The sequence below is a fragment of the Homo sapiens genome, chromosome 19 (genome assembly GCF_000001405.40).
Source record: "Homo sapiens chromosome 19, GRCh38.p14 Primary Assembly".
In the NCBI taxonomy this organism is placed as follows: domain Eukaryota; kingdom Metazoa; phylum Chordata; class Mammalia; order Primates; family Hominidae; genus Homo; species Homo sapiens.
Window position 1 is genome coordinate 58,095,345 of NC_000019.10, and position 27,019 is coordinate 58,122,363.

Here is a 27,019-nt window from a genome sequence, read left to right on the forward strand (position 1 = left end):
CCCAGAGGGGTAGGAACCACATGCAGCCCCAAGGTGCAAGTGGGAAATAGAGGCACGAGGCAGGCAATCACTAAGGCTGGGACCCCACCTGCAAAGTGACGCTGCCACTCATCCTTCCCCGTCCAGGCCCATAAGCCTGCCCTTTAAGAGGCCTCCTGCCGGCCCTCCCCTCTAGCCCTCATGGCCTCCACAGTGGGCAGATCCCAGCCAGCTCCCCCAGCCCCTCTCCTCCTGCTCCAACTTCCCAGCTCTGAGCATGGTGGAGGCATCGGGGTCTAGGTAGAATGAGCAAGGGTCCTCGGCCATTGGCAGGGGCGGGATGACGTGGGGAGGACGGGACACCCTCCGGCTGGGTCACTGGCCAAGACAGTGGGGGACACATGTCAGCCCCTGGGGACAGGAACGGGAGCTCCTCGCCTCTGTGCCCTTCCCCCTCAGCATTACAAGTTGTGAGCCTCTCTGGGAAGCCACCTCTGCCTCCACTTCCTCCATTCACCTGCAAAGCAGAAGCTTCCATGGAACCAGGGGTCTCCTAAAACGCCCAACTCCAAGGAAGCTGCTGCCTCCTGTGAAAACAGCCTCTCCCTGTTCATCTCCCTTCCTACTGGGACCCTGATGCTCACAGCCAGGAGGATGAGGCCATCTCAAGAGCCTCCAGAAATCTCTGGCCCTGTGTCTTCTTGCCTCCTTCAGCCCCATTCCTGGCCACACTGTCAAGAGGACTCTCAGAGATCTCACCGGGGCAGGTGCGGCAGCGTACATCTATAATCTCAGAGCCTGGGGAGTCTTAAGCAGGAGGACTGCTTGAGCCCAGGAGTTGGAGGCTGTGATTGGCCACTGCACTCCAGCCTGGGCGACAGAATGAGCCCGTGTCTCACAAACAAACAAAATAGAGATACCACTGGGACCCTTTCCTGCCACAGCCTGCTTGAATGAGGCCACACCTCGTTGGAGTCTGGCTTGGTCACTGGGCAAACCTCCCTCCCCTAATCTTGGGACTGTCCAGGATTTGCCTCAGATGGGATTTTCCTGGAGCCCAGCCCCCCAGCCTCAGCAAATGAAGCAATCTGCACAAGTCTTGAGCCAGTCCTGTAGGCTTTGCTGCACCCAGAGGCCTGGAATACAGAAGCTGAGGCAGAGAGCTCCACGGTGGGTGAGGGGTGGCTGAGCTGAGGGGTCCCAAGCCTGGTGGGTCTCCAGAGTCCTGCAGCAAATCCCCTTCATCCTGGGCTGAGCAGAGCTCAAGCCTGGTTTGGCCCTCCGTGGGCCCAGCCCTGGCCACCTGAGGAATATTCATCGCAGCTCTCCATCCCACCACACTCATCGGCAGGGTCTAGCAAACCACCCCACAGCCACAGGCCTGAGGATCAGCCAGGGAAGCTCAATGCATGGGATGTGGTTGTTGATGGGTCGCCGGATATTCCCAGGGTCTGCCCTGGCTTCATCCACAGATCACTTACTCATTATAAAAAGGGGTAAAAGTGCTTTTAAAAGAATGAAAAAACATGGAGTAAGGGTCGTCGTTCACATCTCAGCTGCCTTTTGTGGTCCCTGATCCACTCGCCAGGACAGACAGAACCAGAGAGATGTCCTGCGCAACTGGCCTAGGCTCCCCGAAAACCCGAGGCCAGAAATACCCAGGAAGTCACAGATTCAAGCATCATGCACAGAAAACAGCAACTCGATGCGACACGTGGTCCCGCTCTGACTCCAGGGCAGGAAACCATCCGCAGGACATGATGGGATGGGGGAAGTGAAATGGAACCGAGGAGGTGACATGGAACCAAGTGACTGTGCCACTCAGCCTCGCCCAGGAGTCAGCAAGGACACAGGCGAATATATGGGAAAGTGGAAGGAGGGCAGACAGAAATGGGGGAAGCGGGGAGGGAAGGTAGCAGGGAGAGAGAAGACAGGAGAGGAAGGAGCAAGAGCAGGGAAAGCCAGATAGTCTGGACGGGGGTAGAGGGGGATTGGGAAAAGGAAGGAGCCCAGGAGGGTGAGAGAAAGGAAATGGGGAAGGAGTGATGGGAGGGTGAGTCAGGCCCCCACCCCAACCCCCTGGGTCAGGACCGAAGCCAGTACACCCACTCTTGCCTCTTCCACGAGAGAGGTCTCCGGGGTGGGCGCAGACACCTAACTCAAACAGAACCCACCCCCAGGTGACTGGGGAGAGGCGAGATATTCCAAGGGTGGGGGCAGCAGAGACAATGCCCATTCTAGGCACCCCTTTGGTCCCCGCACCCTCCATCCCTTCCCTGCTCCAGCCCCTGGGGCCACAGCCTGCCCAGCGTCCCCCCACCACGGACACCCTCACATCCTCACACCCTCAGCCCCCACTTCCTCCCCTCCTCTTCCCTTCAGGAGCCTCCCCCTCCCTTCTCTTCCCCACTCAGGAGCCTCCCCCTCCCCCTTTTCGCCCCCCTCAGGAGCCTTCCCCTCCCCCCTTTCTCCCCCATCAGGAGCCTCCCCCTCCCTCATCTCTCCCCCATCAGGAGCCGCCCCTTCCTGTTCTCCCACCCACAGGGTGCCCTAAGCGCCTCCCCTCCACGAGCCTACACGGGGTGGGGGTTGCACTAGTTCCCTACCTGCCTGCAGGGCCCCTCACCGATCTGGATCTCAGCCACCTCCGGGGGGACCCGGCCCCTGCCCCGCACTCCACGCGAAGGGATGCCAGACCCTCGGCCTCCTGGACGCACAGCGGGGGCTCGCACCCCAACCCCGGGAACACCCTGGCCCCTTTCCCTAACGCTGCCCACTGAGGCGTCCTCACCGTCTACCCTGTTGGGGTCGCTCTCTGACCCCCGCGCTGCATCCCCGGGACCGACCCACCTGCTGCGCAGCTACCCCAGGCCGGTCCCAGCCGCCCGGAGCCCCAGTGCGCGATGGCGGCCGGCAAACTGCGCCTGCGCACTGGGCCTCACCGCGGACTACGACTCCCACAATGCCGCGAGGCTGTGCCGCGCACCGGGGCGAGCAAGGGAGCCGTGACAGGTGACAGTGCGCATGGCCAATCAGACGCGAGTGTGGCCTCCCGGCGTCCCGCCCACTCCGGCGCCTGCGTCATTTTGGGCACCATGGCAACGAAGTAAACAAGCGGGTAAATAATAGACCCCTGACAGCCAGAGACCCGGAGAAACAAAGACGGTGAGAAACGGAGAAACAAAGACAAAAAGACGCGCAGACCGGGAGGGAGAGAAGCATGAAGGCCCACAGACGCTCGGGGGCAGACCAAGACGCCCTGGGGTCCCCGAAACAGAGATGTACAGAGTCGGACACGGAAAGGGAGAGACCAGCTCACGGTTAAGAAAGGAGGGAGACCAGCCCAGGATCAAGAAAGGGAAAGACCAGCATGGGCTCAAGAAAAGAAAGAGACCAGCTCAGGCTCAGGAAAAGAGAGAGACCCAGAGAAAAGGAGCACTCGAGGCTGAGACAGATCTGGACAGAGATACAGAGACAGGGACCAGCAGACCCAGTACTGGGGAGACAAGAGGTGGAGACCCAGAGACACTGATGCGCTAAAATGGGTTCTACAGTTTCAAGGAGTGGATAGAACTCAAAGATTACCCACCCCAGGGATTCAGGAGCTGCTGAAATGAGGGAAATGTGAGTGGCAGCTGGGGTGAGGGCTTTGGCAAAGCCCCATATAAATGTAGCCCCCCTGGAAGGCAGGATAGGGCCAGGAGCTGCTTCCCATTTCAGTTTTCCAGATAGAGGCGCTTATGAGGATGCCATTTTGGTCGTTTTTGTGTGAACTGATTTTTAAAATGTATATCTGAACAGTTTATATATTTTAAATTTACATACACCACACATTTTGGTATTCAGTTTTATGAATTTTAACTCATATCCACCAACAAACTCGGGACAAAGAATAGCTCCACTGCCCAAAAATCCTCCTGCTGCCTCTTGGTAGTCACTCCCTCCCCACCCATAACCCCAGGAACAGCTAATCTAAGTAGTCCACTGCTACAATTTTGCCTTCACAGTGTCATATAAGTGGGATCATACAGTATGTGGCCTCTTCAGATTGGCTTTTTCACTGAACATAATTCCTTTGAGAGGCATTGAAGTAGTATGTATCAACAGTTCATTCCATTTTATTGAGAAGTAGTATTCTATGGTATATAGCAGTTTAAACCTTCTCCCACTGAGAGATATTAGGATCGTTTTAAGTATTTTGCTATTAAAAATAAAGCTGCTATGAACATTCGTGTACAGATTTTTCTGTGAACGTAAGTTTTCACTTTTCTGGGATAAAAGCCCAAGAGTGCAGTTTCTAGGTCACACAATGAACACGTGCTTATTAGTGTTGTAAGAAGCTGCCACACTCTCATGCAGAGTAGCTGGACCATTTTACACTCCCACCACCAATGAATGTGTGAATCCACTTCACATTTTTATCAGCATTTGTGTTTTGCTATTTTTTATTTTGGCCATTCTGATAGGTATGTACTGATATATCATTGTGGTTTCAATTTGCATTTCCCTTAATTGCTAACAAGTTTGAGCACACTTTAATGATTTTTTTGGCATTTGTATACCCTCTTCATTAAAGTATCTGTTCGTATCTTTTGCCCATTTTCTAATTTTTAAAAAAATTGCTCAGTTTTGAAAGCTATGTTTTTTTTTTTTTTGAGACAAGGTCTCACTCTGTCACTGAGGCTAGAGTGCAGTGGTGCCATCATGAATCACTGCAGCCTTGACCTTCCAGGCTCAAGTGATCCTCACCTCAGCCTCCCGAGTAGCTGGAACTACAGGTGTGCGCTACCATACCCAGCTAATTTTTTTTTTTAAGAGATGGGGTCTCACTATAATGCTAAGGCTGGTCTCAGACCCCCGGGCTCAAGCAATCCTCCCACCATGGCCTCCCAAAGTGCTGGGATTACAGGCATGAGCCACCATGCCCAGTCTTTCCAGTTTATTTTAATGGATATAACTCAGGAACTGCCAAATGGAAGAGATGCACAGCTAAGGTCTGGTCAGGGGCACTGAAGGTGCAGTGCATCCATGTACCGTCTGGGTGAGCCATCCTCCCAGCACTCAGATGTGTTCACCAACCCAGCTCTCTCAATCGTGGGGCAGAGAGAGGGTCCATACCTTCTTTAAGGTGACTATCCCCATCCTGAAGATATCTATGGGTCCCACTGGAGTCACCTCATTAGCATAAACTCAGGTGTGGTCGAAACGGGCTCCTTATGAATTGCAAACCCTATTCCTATTATTCACAAAATTCCAAGGCTTTTAGCTCTGTGCCAGGAACCAGGGATAAAGATCAAATGTAAGGGCCAGGCGCGGTGGCTCATGCCTGTAATCCCAGCACTCTAGGAGGCCAGCGGGCGGATCACGAGGTCAACATGGTGAAACCCTGGCTCTACTAAAAATACAAAAATTAGCCAGGCATGGTGGCAGGTGCCTGTAATTGCAGCTGCTCGAGAGGCTGAGGCAGCTTGAAACTGGAAGGCAGGGGCTGCAGTGAGTTGAGATCGCACCACTGCACTCCAGCCTGGGCAAAAGAGCAAAACTCCATCTAAAAAAAAAAAGAAAAAAGATGAAATGTAGGTTTTATTACACCACAGATGGCCAATTGTTCTTGCACCATCTGGAAAAGGCTATCTTTCCTGCATTGAATAGCTTTTGCTCCTTAAAAAATCAGTCAGGAATATCTTTGCAGGTCTATTTCCGGGTTCTCGATTCCGTTCCACTGATCTATGTGTCTGCCAATACCACATTGGGTTACCACGGCTACAGAGTAACAACATCAGGTGCAGTTATTCCTCCCACTTTTTTTTTTTTTTTTTTTTTTTTTGAGACAGAGTCTTGCTCAGTTGCCCAGGCTGGAGCGCAGTGGCGCGATCTCGGCTCACCGCAAGCTCCACCTCCCGGGTTCACGCCATTCTCCTGCCTCAGCCTCCCGAATAGCTGGGACTACAGGCGCCCGCCACCATGCCCAGCTAATTTTTTTTTTTTTTTTTTTTTTTGTATTTTTAGTAGAGACAGGGTTTCACCATGTTAGCCAGGATGGTCTCGATCTCCTGACCTCATGATCCACCCGCCTTGGCCTCCCAAAGTGCTGGGATTACAGGCATGAGCCACTGCGCCCGGCCACTTTTTTTCTTTTTCAAAGTTATTTTAACTATTCCAAGTCTTGTGCTTTCCCATATACTTTATCTTCTTCTTTTTTTTTTTTTTTTTTGAGACAGAGTCTTGCTCTGTCACCCAGGTTGGAGTGCAGTGATGCAATTTCAGCTCACTGTAAACTCTGCCTCCTGGGTTCAAGTGGTTCTTCTGCCTCAGCCTCCTGAGTAGCTGGGATTACAGGTATGTGCTACCATGCCTGGCTAATTTTTGTATTTTTAGTAGAGACGGGGTTTCACCATGTTGACCAGGCTGGTCTCAAACTCTTGACCTCAGGTGATTCGCCCACCTTGGCCTCCCAAAGTGCTAGGATTACAGGTGTGAGCCACCGCACCCAGCCTTTTTTTTTTCTTTGTTTTTTGAGACAGAATCTCACTCCTAACCATGCTGCTAATATTTACATGGTCCTGCACCAGTGTGTTCATGTAATTTCACATAACTTTTTTCTTTAATTAGGGTTGAGTTTCCTATATAGGCCTTCTAAGCAGCCAGAGATCACACACTTAAATGAGCACCTATTAGCTTCCAGGCATATTATGTTTTCTTTTATAAATAAAAGCCTCAAAATGCACACATGCATACACACACACACGATTACTGACCAAAAGGTATTTCAGTATAAAAGCTAGAGTAGAAGCTCCATAAGGACGGTGACTTTTCCCTGTTTAGGCAGCTTACTAAAAAACCCCATATACTCAGCCGGGCGCAGTGGTTCACGCCTGTAATCCCAGCAATTTGGGAGGCCGAGGTGGGCTGCTCACGAGGTCAGGAGATTGAGACCATCCTGGCTAACACGGTGAAACCCTGTCTCTACCAAGAAAATACAAAAAAATTAGCCGGGCATGGTGGCGGGCGCCTGTAGTCCCAGCTACTAGGGAGGCTGAGGCAGGAGAATGGTGTGAACCCGGGAGGCAGAGCTTGCAGAGAGCCAAGATCACGCAACTGCACTCCAGCCTGGGCGACAGAGCAAGACTCCATCTCAAAACAAACAAACAAACAAACAAACAAACAAACCATATACTCTTCTGTGCTGTTTGGCTTCCCCCCACATTATGAACTTTAAAAATCTTGCAATAAAATAACAATTATGGCTGACACAGGCTATAAGAAAGAAGGCAGGTAACAATGATTATTCAGCAAGGTAGGAAGGACTACAATGGCACACAGACTTGCCATTTTGTACTGCATCGGATATGTCAATGTTAATTGTCATCTCAGCAACAAGATTTTTTCCTTGAGAGTTGTATTTCTCCTCAAATGGACTCTCACTAGTCATTCAATTCCTCCTTCTGATATTACTCTTATTTCATTGATTCCAAGATAACAGATGGTAACATGTACATTTTATGTGCTAATAAAAGGCTGCCTGAGGCCTAGCACAGTGCCTCACACCTGTAATCTCAGCACTTTGGGAGGCCGAGGTGGGTGGACCACCTGAGGTCAGGAGTTCAAGACCAGCCTGGCAAAACCTCGTCTCTACTACAATACAGAAATTAGCTGGGTGTGGTGGTGTGCACCTCTAATCTCAGCTACTTGGGAGGCCGAGGCAGCAGAATCGCTTGAACCTGGCAGGTGGAGGCTACAGTGAGCCAAGATAGCACCACTGTACTCCAGCCTGGGTGACACAGCGAGACTCTCTCTAAAAAAAAATAAAAAAATAAAAAAAGGCTGCCAATTAAACCATATCACTGATTAACCTGGTTTGTTTTCAGATGTTAAAATATGGCAAGATATGTATCACAGAATAAAGGAAATACGGTAAGTCTTTAGGTTCTGTGTCACGACTAACTTCCAGATATAGGCATTACCTTGTTTTCTTGCACTTTGCTTAATTATCCTATGCAGATATTGCATTTTTTACAAGTTGAAGGTTTGTGGCAACCTGTGTCAATTAAGTCTATTGTCACCATTTATCAAACAGCATATGCTCTCTGTGTCTCTGTGTCACATTTTGGTAATTCTCACAATACTTCAAACTATTGCATTATTATTATCTGTTATGGTGATCTGTGATCAGTAATTTTTGTTGTAACTATTGTAATTGTTCTGGAGTGAAAGGAACCACGCCTATATAAGACAATGAACTCAGCAGATAAATGTTGTGTGTCCTGATTCCTCCACCAACCTGCCATTGCTCGCTGGTACGCACTCTCTCTCAATCTCTTTCCTCAGGCCTCCCTATTCCCTGAGACAAAACAATATTGAACTTAGGCCAGTTAATAACCCTACAATGGCCACTAAGTGTTCAAGTGAAAGGCAGAGTCAGACCTCTAACTTCAAATCAAAAGCTAGAAATGATTAAGCTTAGTAAGGAAGGCGTGTCAAAGACAGGCCAAAACTTAGCCCTCTTGTGCCAAACAGCCAAATTGTGATGGCCAAGAGAAAAACTTGAGGGAAATGAAAAGTGTGACTCCAGTGAATATGTGAATGACAAGAAACTGAAACAGCCTTGTCGCCAATAGGGAGAAAGCTTTAATGGTCTGGATAGGAGATCAAACTACCCAAAGAGAACTAACATTCTCTTAAGCCAAAGCCTAATCCAGAGCAAGGTCCTGACTCTCTTCATTTCTATGAAGGCTGTGAGAGGCGAGGAAGATGCAGAAGAAAATTCTGAGCCGGCCAGGCACAGTGGCTCATGCCTGTAATCCCAACACTTTGGGAGGCCAAGCGGGATGGATCACCTGAGGTCAGCAGTTCAAGACCAGCTTAGCCAACATGGTGAAACCCCACCTCTACTAAAAATACAAAAATTAGCTGGGCATGGTGGCGTGCGCCTGTAGTCCCAGCTACTCAGGAGTCTGAGGCAGGAGAATTGCTTGAACCTGGGAGGCGAAGGTTGCAGTGAGCTGAGATCGTGCCACTGCACTCCAGCCTGGGCAACAGAGTGAGGCTGTCTCAAAAACAAAACAAAACAAAACAAAACAAAAAAAAAGTCTGGGCCGGGTGTGGTGGCTCATGCCTGTAATACCAGCACTTTGGGAGGCAGAGATGGGCAGATCACCTGAGGTCAGGAGTTTGAGAACAGCTTGGTCAACGTGGCGAAACCCCATCTCTGCTAAAAATACAAAAAAAATTAGCCAGGCATGGTGGCAAGTGCCTGTAATCCCTGCTACTCAAGAGGCTGAGGCATGAGAATTGCTTGAACCCAGGTGGCAGAGGTTGGCAGTGAGCCGAGATCATGCCACTGCACACTAGCCTAGGCAAAAGAGTGAGACTCCATCTCAATAAAATAAAATAAAATAAAATAAAATAAAATAAAATAAAATAAAAAAGTCTGAAGCTAGCAGAGGTTGGTTCATGAAGTTTAAGTCATCTCCGTAACATAAAAGTGCAAGGTGAAGCAGCAAGTGCTAATGCAGAAGCTGCAGCAAGTTCTCCAGATTTAGCTAAGATCACTGAGGAAGGTCGCTACAGTAGACAACAGTTTAAATGTAAAGAAAACAGCCTTCTGTTGGAAGAAATGCCAGGTAGTGTTTTCACAACTAGAAAGAAGTCAGTGCCTAGCTTCAAAGCTTTAAAGAACAGGCCGACTCTTGTTAAGGGCTAATGCAACTGGTGACTTTAAGTTGAAACCAAAGCTCATTTACCATTCTGAAAACCCTAGGGCCTTAAGATTTAAGTTAAATCTACTCTGAGTGCTGTCTATAAATGTAAACAAAGCCTGGATGACAGTACGTGTTTACAGTATGGTGTACTGAATATTTTAAACCCACTGTTGAGAGACTTCCTCCTGAGAAAAAAAGATTCAAATTATGGCTGCTCACTGACAAGAGCTCTGATGAAGACATAGAAGGAAATTAATGTTGTTCTCGCAACTGCCAACACAACGTGTATTCTGCAGCCCATGGACCAAGGAGTAATAATTTTGCCTTTCCAGTCTTCTTATTTAAGAATGCAGTTTAGCTGGCCCAGGCGCAGTGGCCTGTAATCCCAGCACTTTGGGAGGCTGAGACAGGTGGATCACGAGGTCAGGAGATCGAGACCATCCTGGCTAACACAGTGAAACCCAGTCTCTACTAAAAATACAAAAAATTAGCCGGGCGTGGTGGCGGGTGCCTGTAGTCCCAGCTACTCGGGAGGCTGAGGCAGGAGAATGGCATGAACCCGGAAGGCAGAGCTTGCAGTGAGCAGAGATCGCACCACTGCACTCCAGCCTGGGCAACAGAGTGAGACTCCGTCTCAAAAAAATAAAAAATAAAAAAGAAGAATGCAGTTTGCAGCTATGCGTGGTGGCTCATGCCTGTATTCCCAGCACTTTGGGAGGTTGAAGCAGGTGGATTACTTGAGCTTAGGAGTTTAAGACTAGCCTGGCCAACATGGTGAAACCCTATCTCTACTAAAAATAAAAAATTAGCCGGCCATAGTGGTACATGCCTGTAGTCCCAGCTACTCAAGAGGCTGAGGCATCAGGATCGCCTGAACCCAGGTGGCAGAGGCTGCAGTGAGCTGAGATCGCGCCACTGCACTCTAGCCGAGGCAACAGAGTGAGAATCCTTATCAAAAAAGAAAAAAAAAGGTATGTATTTTGTAAGGCTATAGCTGCCATAGATAGTAATGATTCCTTGGATGGATCCAGGGAAAGTAAATTAAAAACCTTCTGGAAATGATTCACTATGCTAGATGCCATTAAGAGCATTCTAGGCCAGGCACAATGGCTCACACCTGTAATACTAGCACTTTGTCAGGATGAGGCAAGAGGATCACTTCGGCACAGGAGTTCAAGACCAGCTTGAGCAATATGGTGAGATGCCGTCTCTACAAAACATAAAAAAAATTAGCCAGGCGTGGTGGTGCATGCTGGTAGTTCCAGCTATGTAGGAGGCTAAGGTGAGAGGACAACTTGAGCCTAGAGGTCGAGGCTGCAGCGAGCCATGGTTGCAGCACTGCACTCCAACCTGGGCAACAGAATGAGACCATGTCTCAAAAGAAAAAAAGACATCTGGCTGGGCGCGGTGGCTCACGCCTGTAATCCCAGCACTTTGGGAGGCCGAGGCGGGCGGATCACGAGGTCAGGAGATCGAGACCATCCCGGCTAAAACGGTGAAACCCCGTCTCTACTAAAAATACAAAAAAAATTAGCCGGGCGTAGTGGCGGGCGCCTGTAGTCCCAGCTACTTGGGAGGCTGAGGCAGGAGAATGGCGTGAACCCGGGAGGCGGAGCTTGCAGTGAGCCGAGATCCCGCCACTGCACTCCAGCCTGGGCGACAGAGCGAGACTCCGTCTCAAAAAAAAAAAAAAAAAAAAAAAAAGAAAGAAAGAAAAAAAGACATCTGTTTTTTTTGTTTTTTTGTTTTTTTTTGAAATGGAGCCTCCTTCTGTTTCCCAGGCTGCAGTGCAGTGGCTCGATCTCTGCTCACTGCAACCTCTGCCTCCCAGCTTCAGGCAATTCTCCTGCCTCAGTCTCCTGAGTAGCTGGGATTACAGGTGTGCACCATCACGCCTGGCTAATTTTTTTTTGTATTTTTAGTAGAGATGAGGTTTCAGCATGTTGGTCAGGCTTGTCTCGAAATCCTGACCTCGTGATCTGCCCACCTTGGCCTCCCAAAGTGCTGGGATTACAGGCGTGAGCCACCGTGCCTGGCCAAGACATCTGTTCTTGAATAATGAGACTGGAAAGTCAAAATTACTCCTGATCTATGATGGGCTGCAGAATACATGTTGTGTTAGCAGGTGTGAGAACAACATTCATCTCCCTGTACATCTTCATCACAGCTCTTGTCAACAAGCAGCCATATTTTGAAAGGAATCTTTATTCTGAGGAAGTCTCAACAGTGGGTTTAAAATATTCAGCACAGGCCGGGCATGGTGGCTCATGCCTGTAATCTCATCACTTTTGGGAGGCCAAGGTGGGCAGATCACTTCAGGTCAGGAGTTCAAGACCAGCCTGACCAACATGGTGAAACCCTATCTCTACTAAAAAAAATACAAAACAATTAGTGTGATGGTGGGTACCTGTAATCCCAGCTACTTGCTCAGGAGTTTGAGGAAGGAGAATCGCTTGAACCCAAGAGGCAGAGGCTGCAGGGAGCTGAGATCACACTACTGCACTGCAGCCTGGGTGACAAGAGTGAAACTCTGTCTCAAAAATAAAATAAAATATTGAGTGCACCATGCGGTAAACACATGTGCTGTCATCCAGGATTTTTTCTTCCATTTATAGATGGAAAAACATATTTGTTACTTTCAAACAACATAAACTCTTCAACATGAAGTCTCTGACAAAGAGGAGGCAAAGAAAATCAGATCAGTCACTGCCACAGATGCTCACTGAATCCCCATAGGTCTCAGTCCAATGTGTCAACTCTGGTTTCTAGCGAGAGCACAGATACTTGGGAAAACTTTCCCACACTAGACACACTGGCACAAGGTCGCCTGAGCATGTACCTTCTTGTGCTTGGTCAGACAGGAGCTGTCCCTGAAGGCTTTGCCACACCGATTACACTCGTAGGGCTTCTCACCAGTATGAGTCCTCTGGTGCCAGATGAGGCCCGCGATGTTCCTGAAAAGTTTGACACTGGTTACAGCCACAGACCTTCTCACCAGTATGAATCCTCTTGTGCCTGATGAGGTACATAATCTCAGTGAAAGATTTTTTCACATTGTTTAACTCATGAGATTTCTTTCCAGAATGATTTTTTTGATGCAAAAGAGCTGACTGTTGTGGTTGGAGAATTTTTCACACTCCATACACATATAGGGTCTCTTTCCAATGTGAATTCTCCCATGTTTAATAAGTTATGTGTGATCAATGAAGGCCTTTCTACACCCAGTACATACATAGGGCTCCCCTCACATGTGAATTCTCAGATGGACAATAAGGTTGGAGACATCAGAAAAGGATTTTTCACATTCATTACATTCGAATAGTTTTTCCACAGTATGACTTCTGAAATGCAAAACAAGGGAAGAGTGGCAGCTGAAGGTCTTCCCATACCAATTCCTTTCACAGGGCTTCTTTCCTATGTGGGTTTTCTCATGCTTGGTAAAGGTGGAGCCAGCACTGAAGGCTTTCCCACTTCTTGCATTTATAGGATTTCTCTCCTGTGTGGATTTTTTGATGTACAATCAGGTTGTAATTCTTAGAGAGGGATTTTCCACAGTCATTACAGGTATAAGGGCTCTCTCCAGTATGAGTCCTCTGGTGACTGATGAAATGAGATTTCGGTCTAACGGACAGTCCACATTCACTGTCATTGTATTCATTTCCAGAGATACTTCCATTGTGTTCATAAGGACATGTGTCCCTATCAAACACCTCCTCGTGTCCTTCTCCTTTGTGTTGTTCCTTTCTCTGGCAATTACATGTTGTTCACTAAGGTGTGTAGAAAGGCTGAAGGAGTTACCACCTTCGTTACATTTTGAAGGCTCATCTCCTTGTTAGATCTTCATCAAGGTGGCTAGGTTGTCCACCCTGGCTGATGGCTGCTCTACAGTCATCATTTTCCTCAAGAATTTGACCGTTAGAGCCTTTCTGACAATTATGTATGTAACTAAAATGTTTAACCTTTGAGTCATGTTCACAGAAACCTGTTGTTTGAGGACCTCTTTGACATGAAGCTAGGACTGAGCAGATGACCACAATGGTCATGGTGACCACAGCCCCTCATAGATGCTCTGGGTCCTTGTGTGTGGATGCTGTTTGCCTCAAATGCACCTCTGGATTTCTATGGAGCATTTCTACCTGGTCCTCACATTCCCAGACCTCTCCTAATGCAGATAAAACAGGAATCATCCCTGATGAACCTTTTTATTTTCACCAAATTGGATAGTTCCTTCCCAACACCATCCCAAGTTGATGCTTCCATTTGACTTTTGTTTCCCAGGCTGGAAAGGAAAAGGGGAAAATTTTTGAATCCTTAGAGAAAAAATTGCTAGAGTTAGAATGGTAATGTGTAAACATTAAAATCAGCCAGGCCAGTATCTATTATATCTGATGCTGTGCCCATTCTGTGACACAGCAATTCCACTTGCAAGGGTACAATCAAAAGAAATGTGTATGTATGTTCATAGAAACACTCTTTCTAATAGCCCGAGACTAGACACTATCCAAATGTCACCAACTGGGAAATGGAAAACTTGTGGTTTACTTACATGATGAAATACCACACATTAACAAAAGTGAATAAACTAAGAGTACACAAAAATATGGGTACATTTCTCAGGCATATTATTTGAAAGAGGAAGTATATATACTGAAAGTGCACAGTATATTTACTTTGTGAAAACTTCTAGTTTTACATTTATGTATTTTTTAGCATGTATACTTCCAGGAAAAGCTTTTACAAAATCATATGTGCACACACACACACATCCTACCAAATAAATTAGCCAGATTTTTAAAAAATTAACATAGATTTTTTTTCAGTTATACACCTGCATGGTAGGAAGAGAATATAAAGATGGATGAAGGATAGTGAATAAATATCACTTTAGATATTATGATTTTTAAAAAGGGACAGGTTCTGGTTATGTTGCCCAGCCTGAACTCAATCTCCTAGGCTCCTCCCACCTCAGCTTCCTGAGTAGCTGAGACCACAGGTGCATGTTACCACTCACAGAAAATTTTTTAAAAATTATTTTTTGTAGAGACAAGTCTCACTATGTTGCCCAGGCTGGTCTCAAACTCCTTGCCTCAAGTGCTCCTCCGGCTTCAGCCTTCCAAAGTTCTGCAATTACAGGTGTGAGCCACCATGCCCATCCTCTAGCTGTATTTCTGAAGTCCCTTCACTGAGAAGAACTTGATCTCCAACTGTCCCCAAGATGCTTCTTCAGTGTCTCCTGATGCTTTGCTTTTCTGTCTATCCAAACAGAAATCATCTTCCACTCTCCTCTCCACTCCCATTACCATTCTTCCTTCACCTGTCCCACCCACTCGGCCCCTCTGAATCCAGACATGCATACTAGACTGTCCAGGCCTCCCAACCCACTCGGCCCCTCTGAATCCAGACATGCATACTGGACTGTCTAGGCCACCCAACCCTTAGAGATCTGCCCATCATTACACCCTGAAGAGACCAAAAGCTGTGGCATGGCCCATGCTGCTTCTCCCTGAGTCTTCCCAATCCCAGTAAACAGCCATCCCATTTTCTCAGTGGAAGAGGCCAGAAACCTGCTCCACTGGGATGGAACATACTCCATTCTCCACTCTCCCTTTTCTCAAAAGTCACACCTAAGCTATCAGCTTTGACTTTCAAATACACACAGTATCCTACCAATTTACACTTCCTCCACCACTGTGGTCCAAGTTATAATCACCCTTTTATTATAAATTGAAGCATAATTTAAACAGAATAAATTCAAAGTGGATGACTCACTGAGTCTTTAGATGTATTTTCATGAGTGTTCATATGTGTATGCACACTCCATGTGTGTATGACAATCCATGATATAAAACATACCCATTTTTAGGCCAGGCACGGTGGCTCACGCCTGTAATCCCAGCACTTTGGGAGGCTGAGGCAGGTGGATCACGAGGTCAGGAGATGGAGACCATCCTGGCTAACACAGTGAAACCCCATCTCTACTAAAAATACAAAATATGAGCCAGGCGTGGTGGCGGGCGCCTGTAGTCCCAGCTACTCGGGAGGCTGAGGCAGGAGAATGGCGTGAACCCGGGAGGCGGAGCTTGCAGTGAGCTGAGATCGCGCCACTGCACTCCAGCCTGGGCGACAGAGCAAGACTCCGTCTCAAAAAAAAAAAATTCCCATTTTCTGGAGGTAATCGCTGCTCTGACCTCCATTACTACAGACTGCTTTGATTGGCCCTGAACTCCATGTGAGCAGGATTGCACCATCCACATGCTCTTGTCTTGGACTTGTCATTCAACAGTAGCTCTCATGGTTGTTTGCATGGTTAAAACTGAACCCCCCGAAAAAAATTTTTTTTAAGACAGGGTCTCATTCTGCTACCCTGGCAGGAATGCGGTGGTGTGATCACAGCTCACAGTGGCCTCCAAATCCTGGGCTCAATTAATCCTCTGCCTCAGTCTCCAAAGTAGCTAGGACTACAGGTATGCACCACCATGTGCAGCTACTTATAAAGTTGTTTTTTTGTTTTTTTTTTTTAAATAGAGACATGGTCTCACTATGTTGTCCAGGCTGGTCATCAACCCCTGGCCTCAAGCAATCCTCCCACCTTGACCTCCCAAAGTCCTGGGATTACTGGCATGAGCCACTATGCCCAGCATGTACCAAACAATTAAAGAAGAATTAATACCAATTCCTCTCAGACTCTTCCAAAACAGGAGGGAACACTTCCTAACTCATCCTATGAGGCTAGCATTACCTTGATACCAAAGCCAGGCAAGCACACTACAAGAAACCTAGAAACCATATCCCTTAAATGTTGAATTCATCAGTGTATTACAAGGATTACACACCACGAGCAAGTAGGACTGTTCATGGAATGCAAGGATATTTCAACATGCGAAAATTAGTTAATGTAAGACATCACAATAACAGGATAAAGAAAAAAACACGACCATCTCAAATGATGCATTAAAAGCATTGGACAAAATTCCAAACCCGACCCCTGCCTTTCTTTACTTTTTATTTTATTTTACTTTTTTGTTTTTGAGACCAGGTCTTACTCTGTGACCCAGGCTGGAGTGCAGTGGTGCAATCATGGCTCCCTGAAGCCTCGACTGCCCTGGGGTAAGGTGATCCTCCCACCTCAGTCTCCCCATAGCTGGGACTACATGCACAAGGCAAGATTCCCAGTAATTTTTGTATTTCTTGCAGAGATGGGGTTTTTGCCACTTTGCCTAGTCTGGTCTCAAATTCCTGTGCTCAAGCGATACGCCCATTTCGGCCTCCCAAAATGTCCCGATTACAGGTGTGAGCCATTGCGTCTAGCCCCAACACCCTGGCATGATTAAAAAACATACTCAAGGCTGGGCGTGGTGGCTCACGCCTGTAATCTCAGCACTTTGGGAGGCCGAGGTGGGCGTATCACGAGGTCAGGAGATCGAGATCATCCTGGCTAACACAGTGAAACCCCGTCTCCACCAAAAATACAAAAAAATTAGCTGGGCGTGCTGGCAGGCACCTGTAGTCCCAGCTACTCGGGAAGCTGAGGCAGGAGAATGGCGTGAACCCAGGAGGCGGAGATTGCAGTGAGCCGAGATCACACCACTGCACTCCAGCCTGGGCGACAGAGCAAGACTGTCTCAAAAAAAAGAAAAAAAAGTTTAGGCCAAGCTCAGCTGACGCCTGTAATCCCAGCACTTGAGGAGGCCGAGGGGGGCAGATCACCTGAGGTCTGGAGTTTGAGACTAGCCTGGCCAACATGGTGAAACCCCTTCTCTACTAAAAACACAAAAAATTAGCCAGGCATGGTGGCGGGCAACTGTAATCCCAGCTACTCGGGAGGCTGAAGCAGGGGAATCACTTGAACCTGGGAGGCAGAAGGTGCAGTGAACCAAAATCACACCACTGCACTCTAGCCTGGGCGATAAAGCAAGGCTCCGTTTCAAAAAAAAAAAAAAAAAAAGAATTTAAAGGGGACAGGTCAGGATATTGAGAAACACAATTTTCACATAAACAAAAGGGTCAAGGGCCAGGCGCAGTGGCTCACGTCTGTAATTCCAACACTTTGGGAGGCCGAGGCAGGCAGATCACGAGGTCAGGAGATCGAGACCATCCTGGCTAACACGGTGAAACCCCATCTCTACTCAAAATGCAAAAAAATTAGCCAGGTGTGGTGGCGGGCACCTGTAGTCCCAGCTACTCGGGAGGCTGAGGCACGAGAATGGCGTGAACCCGGGAGGCGGAGCTTGCAGTGAGCCGAGATCACGCCACTGCACTCAAGCCTGGGTGACAAAGCAAGACTCTGTCTCCAAAAAAAAAAAGGCGGGGCAGAAGAAAAATGTGGGGAATCTGCATTAGGATAACACAGACAAAATGGGGCAGGGGAACAATCAGATACGCATTTGTGTCTGGGATGCCGGGGTGACTGCACTTGTAAAGATAAGCTATCAATTTGCATTGCCATGGTGAAGTTTTCACAACAGCTCACCAGGAATTTCTTTGTGGGCAAAATATGGGGGAGGCATGTAGCATTTCATCTTGTAGCCACCTTATTTAGGAACAGGGGAGGCAGGTTTGCTTGACCCAGTTTCCAGCTTGACTTTTCTCTTTGACTAAATGAGTTTGGAGTCCCAAAATTCAATTTCTTTTCACAACCGTGGTAAGACTTGGCTCAAAAATAATACCATAATGGCTGGACGCAGTGGCTCACGACTATAATCCCAGGACTTTGGAAGGCTGAGGTGGGTGGATCACTTGAGGTCAGGAGTTCGAGACCAGCCTAGGGAACATGGTGAAACCCCATCTCTACTAAAAATACAAAATTAGCCAGGTGTGGTGGCATGCGCCTGAAATCCCAGCTACTCGGGAGGCTGAGGCAGGACAATCACTTGAACCCAGGAGGCAGAGGTTGCCATAAGCCAAGATCGTGCCACTGTAGTCCAGCCTGGGCAACAGAGAGACTCCAGCTCAAAAAATAATAAGGCTGGGCGTGGTGGCTCGCGCCTGTAATCCCAACACTAAGGGAGGCCAAGGTGGGCAGATCACAAGGTCAGGAGTTCAAGACCAGCCTGGCCAACATAGTGAAACCCCATCTGTATTAAAAATACAAAAATTAGCACGGCATGGTGGCACGTGCCTATAGTCCCAGCTACTTGGGAGGCTGAGGCAGGAGAATCACTTGAACCTGGGAGGTAGAGGTTGTGGTGAGCCAAGATCATGCCATTGTACTCCAGCCTGGGCAACAGGCCGAGACTCTGTCTCAAAAAAAAGATGATAATAATAATGTCATAATATAATTAGGAATTGGGAAATTTTGAAAAGGATGGGTTATCACATGATAACAGGAAATTATTGCTCATTTTCTTAGGTGTGATACAGTATTATGGTTATGCAAAAGAATGTCTTTATTCTTAGAATGTATGTGCCAACATATTTATGAGTAAAGTGTCATACTTGTAATAAATATATATACATGTAGACATACATATACTTAAACACATGCACACATAATACATATACGCACAGATAAATATACAAATGTACATTATATAAATATATACACAATATACACATACATATATACATACAAAAATACATGTATACACACATATGCCCCCAAATATATAAACAAGTATGTATATATACACGTATGCACAAATATACATTAATAAATATATAGTGTGTTATATATTACAGGCACATAAAACAAATATGGCAAAATATTAATTGGTGAATCTCGGAGTGGGTGATGGGCATTCATGATACTCTTTTTTCTCAACTTTTCTGTTAGAGTATTTCAGAAACTTGTCAAAATATAAAGTAGGCAGGGGAAATATAAATGCCTCCTGGAGAGATATTCCAGGATCATCATTCATTAACACCTTGGTGAGGTGAACTTATAACAGGTTTCTCAAAAGGCATTCAAGAGACGGTTGTAAGTGTTCAAGGGGGAAAAATATGATGCTAGCGCTAGAAGCTGTTAAAAAACAACTATGGAGTTACCAACTGGGAAAATGCTAGTTTGTAAGGCCCTTTCCAGGCAATAGGTTTTGTTGCAGGACACTAAAGGAAGGCCAGAAGTGTCAGCCACTAAGAACTGGAGTCAGGGCAAGGCAGAGCTATCCAAAGCACTCACAGGTTCCTGGGGCAAACCCTGGAATCAACTGGCCCTCTAGCTGCTCCCAGTGGTTGGCAGCTGATCCAAGTTCAATCCTATTTAATCTGTTTGTGAGCTAAATATTGTTTCTGAGAAGACAAGTAAGTGAAAATAGGGCAAATATAATTCTATTCTGGATTCAACAGGGAGCTTACTATTTAAATAAAACTTCAAATTCCATTTAAATATTTTATATTAAAGATATCACTGCAGAATTAATGCATGTTCATTGCAGAAAATCTGGAAAACATAAATAAGTACAAAGACAATAAAAATAATCTATAATCTCACTGTTGAGCCTTGGGTGCATTTACTTCCTGTTTTCTTCACAGAGAATCATTTTGAAACAGGTGGAGTCAACGTGTGTATATAACTTGGGTCCTTTTTTGTTTTTCCTAGTTAACATTATATTACGGGTAGTTCCCACAACATTAACATGTCTTTGTTAGTATAAGAAATGCCACAGCCTCTCTGAAGAACAATTCAGAAGAACTAGGTTGAAATAAAAAATTCTAAATGCCAAGAGATGTGGTGGATCCACACTGGCATCCTTTTTACAATGACAAATTAAAATTCAAAAGTAGTATCAGAGGATCTCACATTTAGCAAGCGTGGTTTCATCAAACTTTTGTTACAGTTAGTATGCATGCAAGTCATCATGTACATGTTTCTCTCAATGCTTGTGTGAAAATTTTGAAAACCTACAGGCTAGAAAAACCCTTACAAGGATACACATTCAACTTGCCTCCCTAAAGCACTGGTGGAAACGCTGAAAACCTGGAAACTTCCAAGATGTTCATCAACAGGAAAGGCAAGACAAAAAAAACTGTGGCATTTTCACAAGGTAGAATAGTATAGAGCAGTGAAGGCCGGTGTACTGAAAGCTTCACCTAGTACAAGGTTGGGGAGAGAAGAAGGTTGCAAAGTCTTGTAGCACATAAAGCATGCCAATTTCAAACACACGCACGCATGCACACACAAACACCCCATACTCCATATTGCCCGAGGCACTGGATATCACAAAGGAAAAAACTCTAAAAAAAACCCCCAAAAAACGGCCTGGGCACACTAGATAAATGTGCAGTGAATTCATCACACACCCCCTCTGTGATCTTAAGTCTGTGGGAAAAGGGCCAGCTTCCTGTGGTCACAAGGATGGCTCTTTTTCTTTCATTCTGCAAACATTTACTGAACACGTACTGTATGCCAGGACCTGTTCTAGGTATCAATAATTCAGCAGTGGATCAGACAGATGAAGACCTCCACCTCACAGAGTAGGCATTCTGGTATGGGAATAGGCAAAGAACTGCAGAATCTGTCACTATCAAACGCTCTGCAAACTGAGGAAGCACATACCTGCAATCCAGTTTCTGAGTTACAGCTCCTTTCCCAAACCGTCCCAATCTCTATCCACTGCCCACAACTCAAAAGCCAAGCAACCTCAGAGAATGAACTGCCGAAGGAAGAAGCTAGGGCACGGAATTTCACCTGATGCAAGCTCCATCATCATCACCTGCAACCCAGCAGCAAACAGTCCTTAGCCTAGCAGCCCCAGTCCTAGGGCATGTGAGGATTCTGCCTGTTACTGAGTAAGGAGAGTGTTTAGAGGACAGATGTGACCTGACAGGCTTCCACTGAATCGTGAGGAGGCCAGAGGCACGGGAGCAAGGAGATGCCCGTACCAGAGAGTAGAGGTGTGGTGATGTGGCTAAATTCTGGAAATATCTTTTTTACTTCTATTTTTTTGAGACAGAGTCTCGCTCTGTCAGTGCTGGAGTGCAGTGGCATGATCTTGGCTCACCGCAACTTCCGCCTCCCAGGTTCAAGCGATCCTCCTGCCTCAGCCTCCCGAGCAGCTGGGATTAAAAGCGCGTGCTTTAGGGGACATGTGAGATCCTCTGACACTACTTTTGAATTTTAATTTATGTCATTGTAAAACGCCCAGCTAACTGAATTCTGGAAATATCTTAAAGGTTAAGCCATGGGATTTTGGACAGAGACGATGTGGGGATTGGGGAAAAGAGAAATATCCAGGTGGACAAAGAGGATTGTGGGTGGAGGGAGTCACCACTTGGAGAGACTAGAAAGACTGAGTTTGGGGGAGAGTAGATGCTCAGCTGAGGATCCCAAAGTCTGAGAGGCCTGTCCCTGGGGGTCAGCATTCGGGCATCAGAGGTTTGTGGAGAGGGCAGCCCAGTATACAACCGCAGGGAAGGGAGGAAGGGCAAGTCAGTGGAGTCAGAACCCAGCAGGGATGGGAGGAAGCCTGGCTGGGAATGTTCACAGTGGGTAGGAAGGGGAAGGAACACACAACCCTAAAGGGGCAGAGGAGGAAGCCATCTCTTGGGATAAAGGAGAGGAAGAACAGGGTTGTTAGGAGGAGTAGGATGAAAAGTGGGGAAAGCGTCCTTGGGAGTAAGACACGGGAAGCAGAATAGGTTGTTCAAGCCCAAATCTTGTGAGGAGAGGCAGAAGGGAGGGGCGTCCGCACCTGTGCAGGAAGAGAGGAGGGGTCCATACCCTGGGAAGGTGAGAAAAGGCCATCTGTGCCCGCAGGAAAAAAAAAAAAAGAGAATATTGGGGAGGCTGAGGTTAAGGGACAGGCGAAAAAAAAAAAGGGATCCGCCCCAGTGGGAGGGTAGAGGAAGAGAAATGAGCCCCCGCCCCAAAGGGGGCCTGCGCCCACTAGGAGAGAGAGTTAGAGGGTCCGTGCTCCACAGGGCGAAGGGAGAGGAAATTCGGAGTTGGCACCGCACTGGGGAGAAGGGTATGGGGGCCCACGCCCAACGAAGAGGAGGGAGTAGGGGTCCGCGCCCCACCACGAAAGGAGAGTAGAGGGCTCGCGCCCTGCGGGGAGAGGCGTTAGGGGGTCCGCGCCCGGCGAGGAGATGCGCGTACCAGCCCCGCACGCCAAGGGGAGAAGACACGCGGGACGGTCCGCGCCTGGCGGAGAGAGTTCCTCACGCCCGCCCCGCCGGGAACCACAAGCCAGCGCCCCTAACAAGCCCCTGCCCAGAGCAGGGCTGCCGCGTACCCTCACAGACAGAAAGAGCGACCACGCAGCCACCGCCCAGCCCCAGCCGCTCTGGAGTCCTTGACCCCACCCTCACTAGGCCTTGGCTCCGCGACCGGTGGGCGGGAACGGAGGAAACAGACCCGAGAGGCCGCGAGAGGACGGAACTCACTTCCCGCCGCCGTAGCGTCCTCGTCAGCTCGCCCTCCGACTCTCCGCATGGGCGCGCAGAGTTCCCGGATGCGATATTCCGGTGACACCGGACGCTGGGGGCGGGGCCTAGTGCGACGAGGGCGGGGCCGGGGCCGGCCCGGGGCGGGGCCGTGGCCGCAGCTGCCTGGCAGCCAGAACCTGGGAGCGCTCGCAGTGCTGCCTTTCGGGGTTCTTTGTCCTTCGCTTCTGCTGGTAGGTGAGGTTTAACAGACGGAAAGACGCCGGGAGCGCACGTGGGCTGCCTTGAGCCGCTGCGGACGAGCACCTTGTCTCTCAGGTTGACCAGCCGTATATCCGCTTGCGAGCCTGCACCACCCTGGGCGCGCGTGGTCTCGGCAGAATCTCGTTCACACGGGTCCCACTCGTAGGCTGCTGTGTCTCCTTCCTCTCACGGCGTCGGGGACTGGGGCCTGGAGTCACTCCTCTACAGGGGTGTGGAACGCGCCAATGGACGCTGACACCTTCATGCGGTCGTTTAACGCTCCGTGCACAATAACCATTTTACTCAGTTGTGTGATGCTCCATCGAAAATAACCCATTTACACGGTTGTATAAGACCCCACGACACGATAACCCCTCTACGCAGTTATGTAAGACTCCATGGCACAATAACCCCTTCATGCGGTTGTGTAACTCTCCATGGCACAAAAACCCATTGCCATGCATAAGGTTCCGTGCCAAAATAACCACTTTACGCCATTGCATAACACTCTATGGCACAATAACCACTTTACAAGGCTGTGTAATACTCTACGCCACAATAACCCTTTCATGTGGTTGTGTAATCTTCCATGGTGCAATAACCACTTCACTTGGTTGTGTAATCCTCCAGGGCACAATAATCATTTTATGTGATCGTATAAAATGCTCCACTGTGAATACACCATTTGCTCATTTTCCTTCCTGTCAGTGGATATTTGGGCTGTTTCCAGTTGGGAGTTACTACAAAGGAACCTGCTGTGAACATTGTGTGTGCATCTTTTGATAAGCAGGTTTGTATTTCTGTTGGGTGAATGCCTAGGACTGCAGCTGTCTCTTCATGGGTGCACCTGTTCAGGTTAGGAGATAACACTAGTTTACAGTGCCCCCTGCAGTGGTGTATAAGATTCCCAGTTGCTCCCCATTCTTGTCAACACTTGGTACTATCTGTTGTTTTCATTTTTGCCATTAGTGTGATGTGAAGTAGCATCTCATTGTGGTTTCTCTGATTAGTAGTAAAGTTGGGCACACTTTCATGCACTTATTGGCCATTTGGACTTTTCCTTGTTTATGAGGGGGCTGGTTCAAGTCATTTGCCAACTTTTCTATTAAGTTGCATTCTTATTGAGATGCTGAGTTCTTTATATATTTGGAGGCCAATCTTTTGTTGGCTCTACAATGGTCTTCTCCCACTCTGTCACTTGCCCTTTCACTTGCATAATATTGCTTTCTGATGAACATAAGTTGGTTTTTTGGTTTTTTTTTTTTTTTTTTTGAGATGGAGTCTTGTTCTGTTGCCCAGGCTGGAGTGCAGTGGTACGATCTTGGCTCACTGCAACCTCTGCCTTCCAGGTTCAAGCAGTTCTCCTGCCTCAGACCCCCAAGCAATTGGGATTACAGGTGCATGACATCATGCCCGGTTAATTTTTATATTTTTAGTAGAGATGGGTTTTGCCATGTTGGTCAGGCTGGTCTCAAACTCCTGACCTCAAATGATCCATCCACCTCGGCCTCCCAAAGTGCTGGGATTACAGGTGTGAGGCACTGTGCCCAGCCCCTTTCCAGTTTTAAAGCCAGGAACAGGGAGTAGATTCCTCACACTTCAGCTCTCTACTCGCTCCTTCCTCAGCATCTGACTCCAGCCCACAATCTCTGCTTTTAAGGGCATGTGTGCTAGATTGGGCCCATCCAGATAATCCAGGATACCTTCTTCTCTATCTCATGTCCCACTCATTTCAGCCAAACTTGCAATGGCCCAGGCTACCCCAGAATCCATCTGGAACTCACCTAGTCCACATCTCATATTCTCTTTGGTCAGGAGTTTCTATCCTCTGTGATTGAATTACAGTAGCCTCTCCTGATTGGCAGTTTCACTTCTCCACCTTTGTTACCCGAGGTCAACTGTGGTCTGAAAATATTAAATGGAAAATCCAGAAATAAACAATTCATAAGTTTCACATTGCACACTGCTCTGAGTAGCATGATTAAATCCCATGCTGTACCACACCATCCCGCCCAGGATGGGAACCAGGCATTTGTCTAGTGTGTCCACACTGTATACCCCCTATTAGTTACTTTTAGAAGCCACCTTGGTTATTAAATTAACCATCATAGTATCACAGTACTTGTGTTCAAGTAACCTTTACTTTAAAAAATATTTTATAAATTAAACCTTATCACAGGTTAAGTATAAGAAAAAACATAGTATACAGTTAGCCCTCCATATGCGTGGGTTCCACATTTGTAGATTCAACCAACTTTGGATTGAAAGTATTTGAAAAAACACTGCATCTGTAGTGAGCGTGTGCAGACTTTTTTCCTCATCATTACCTCCTAAACAATACAGTATAAAAATTACAAAGTATTTACGTTGTATTAGGGAACATAAGTAATCTAAACATTACTATTTTTTTTTTTTTTTGAGATGGAGTCTCACTCTGTCTCCCAGGCTGGAGTGCAGTGGCATGATCTTGGCTCACTGCAGACTCCACTTCCCAGGTTCAAGTGATTCTCCTGCCTTAGCCTCTCTAGTAGCTGGGATTACAGGTGCATGCTACCACACCCAGCTAATTTTTGTATTTTTAGTAGAGACGGGGTTTTGCCACGTTGGCCAGGCTGGTCTTGAACTCCTGACCTCAGCTGATCTGCCCGCCTTGGCCTCCCAAAGTACTGGGATTACGGGCTTGAGCCACTGTGCCCAGCCTAGACATTAAAGTACACTGGAAGATGTGTGTAGATTATATGTAAATACACACCATCTTATATGAGGGACTTGAGCATCATCTGATTTGGTGTCTGAGGGCAGTTTTGGAATCAATCTCCCACAGATATAGAGGGACAACTGTATATACGGTTTGGTGTCATAAGAGGTTTTAGGCATCCACCATGGTACTGGAATGTATCCCCCTGGATTTGGTAGGGAGGACTACTACATGTTCATTACAGCAGTGATTCCTGCTAATTTGAGAAAAGCTTATTTATTATTATTTCATTTCATTTTGTAGAGATAGGGTCTCTGTCTGTTGCCCAGGCTGGTCCCAAACTCCTGGACTCAAGTGATCCTCCCACCTCAGCCTCCCAAAGTCCTGGGATTACAAGTGTGAGCCATAGTGCCCAGCCTAAGAAAATTTTTTCAATAAAGATCAAGAGGAATACAATTCACACAAAACCATGGGGCTCATACCAATATCATAGTTGACACCACTTCTTCAGAATGCTTACTCTCTGGCCACAACTGGTCAGGGGATGAGTCCATCCCAGAATCTGAAAGGTAGAACCAAGAGGTAGAGATGCTGCTGACACTAACTGCAACACCTGCATATTTTACTTGAGAGCTGCAGACACCAAAGTGAAGTGCCCAGCCTGGGCATTCCTGACAGTCCACTAGGGATTTGTGTCTTATGATACACACATTTCTACAGAGACATAAATCTGTAACTTATAACTGTACACATCCTGGGAATGTAAGACTTTTCCCCAATAATGGGGTTCATTCTTTTGAAAGTATGAACAAGAAATGTATACACTTAAGCCTTGGCACAGCTCACACCTGGGCTGGATAACTCTGCTGTGGGGGCCATTATGAGCCTTGAAGGATGTTTAGCAGCAGCCCCAGCCTCCACCTGCCAGATGCCACCCTTCATCATGACCACCCAGATGTCTCCATATGTCCCCTGGGGGCAAAATTGCCCCTGGATGAGAACCACTGCTCACAGTGAATAGATCCACATGTTCAAGTGCGCCCACACCATGGAATATTACACAGCACTGAGGAGA

At 47.4% G+C, this 27,019-nt stretch overlaps 1 protein-coding gene across 10 annotated transcripts in view; it reads right to left on the reverse strand.

Annotated features, from left to right (window-relative positions):
• The window catches only part of ZSCAN18 (zinc finger and SCAN domain containing 18), a 34,585-nt gene extending 11,503 nt beyond the window's left edge, over window positions 1-23,082 (reverse strand). For 3 of the 10 annotated variants that reach the window (XM_011527239.4, XM_017027169.3, NM_001145543.2), the window contains exon 1: window positions 2,830-2,887. Coding sequence is in view for 2 of the 10 variants with exons in the window: in NM_001145542.1 (NP_001139014.1) it covers window positions 23,004-23,052 (49 nt within the window). In the remaining 8 variants the exon portion in view is untranslated. Of the gene's footprint in view, window positions 1-2,585; window positions 2,888-12,260; window positions 13,960-23,003 lie in introns of those variants that run through there. The other 7 variants (XM_006723335.3, XM_011527238.2, NM_001145544.2 and 4 more) reach the window with 4 other exon arrangements.
• Window positions 23,083-27,019: the final 3,937 nt, after the last annotated feature.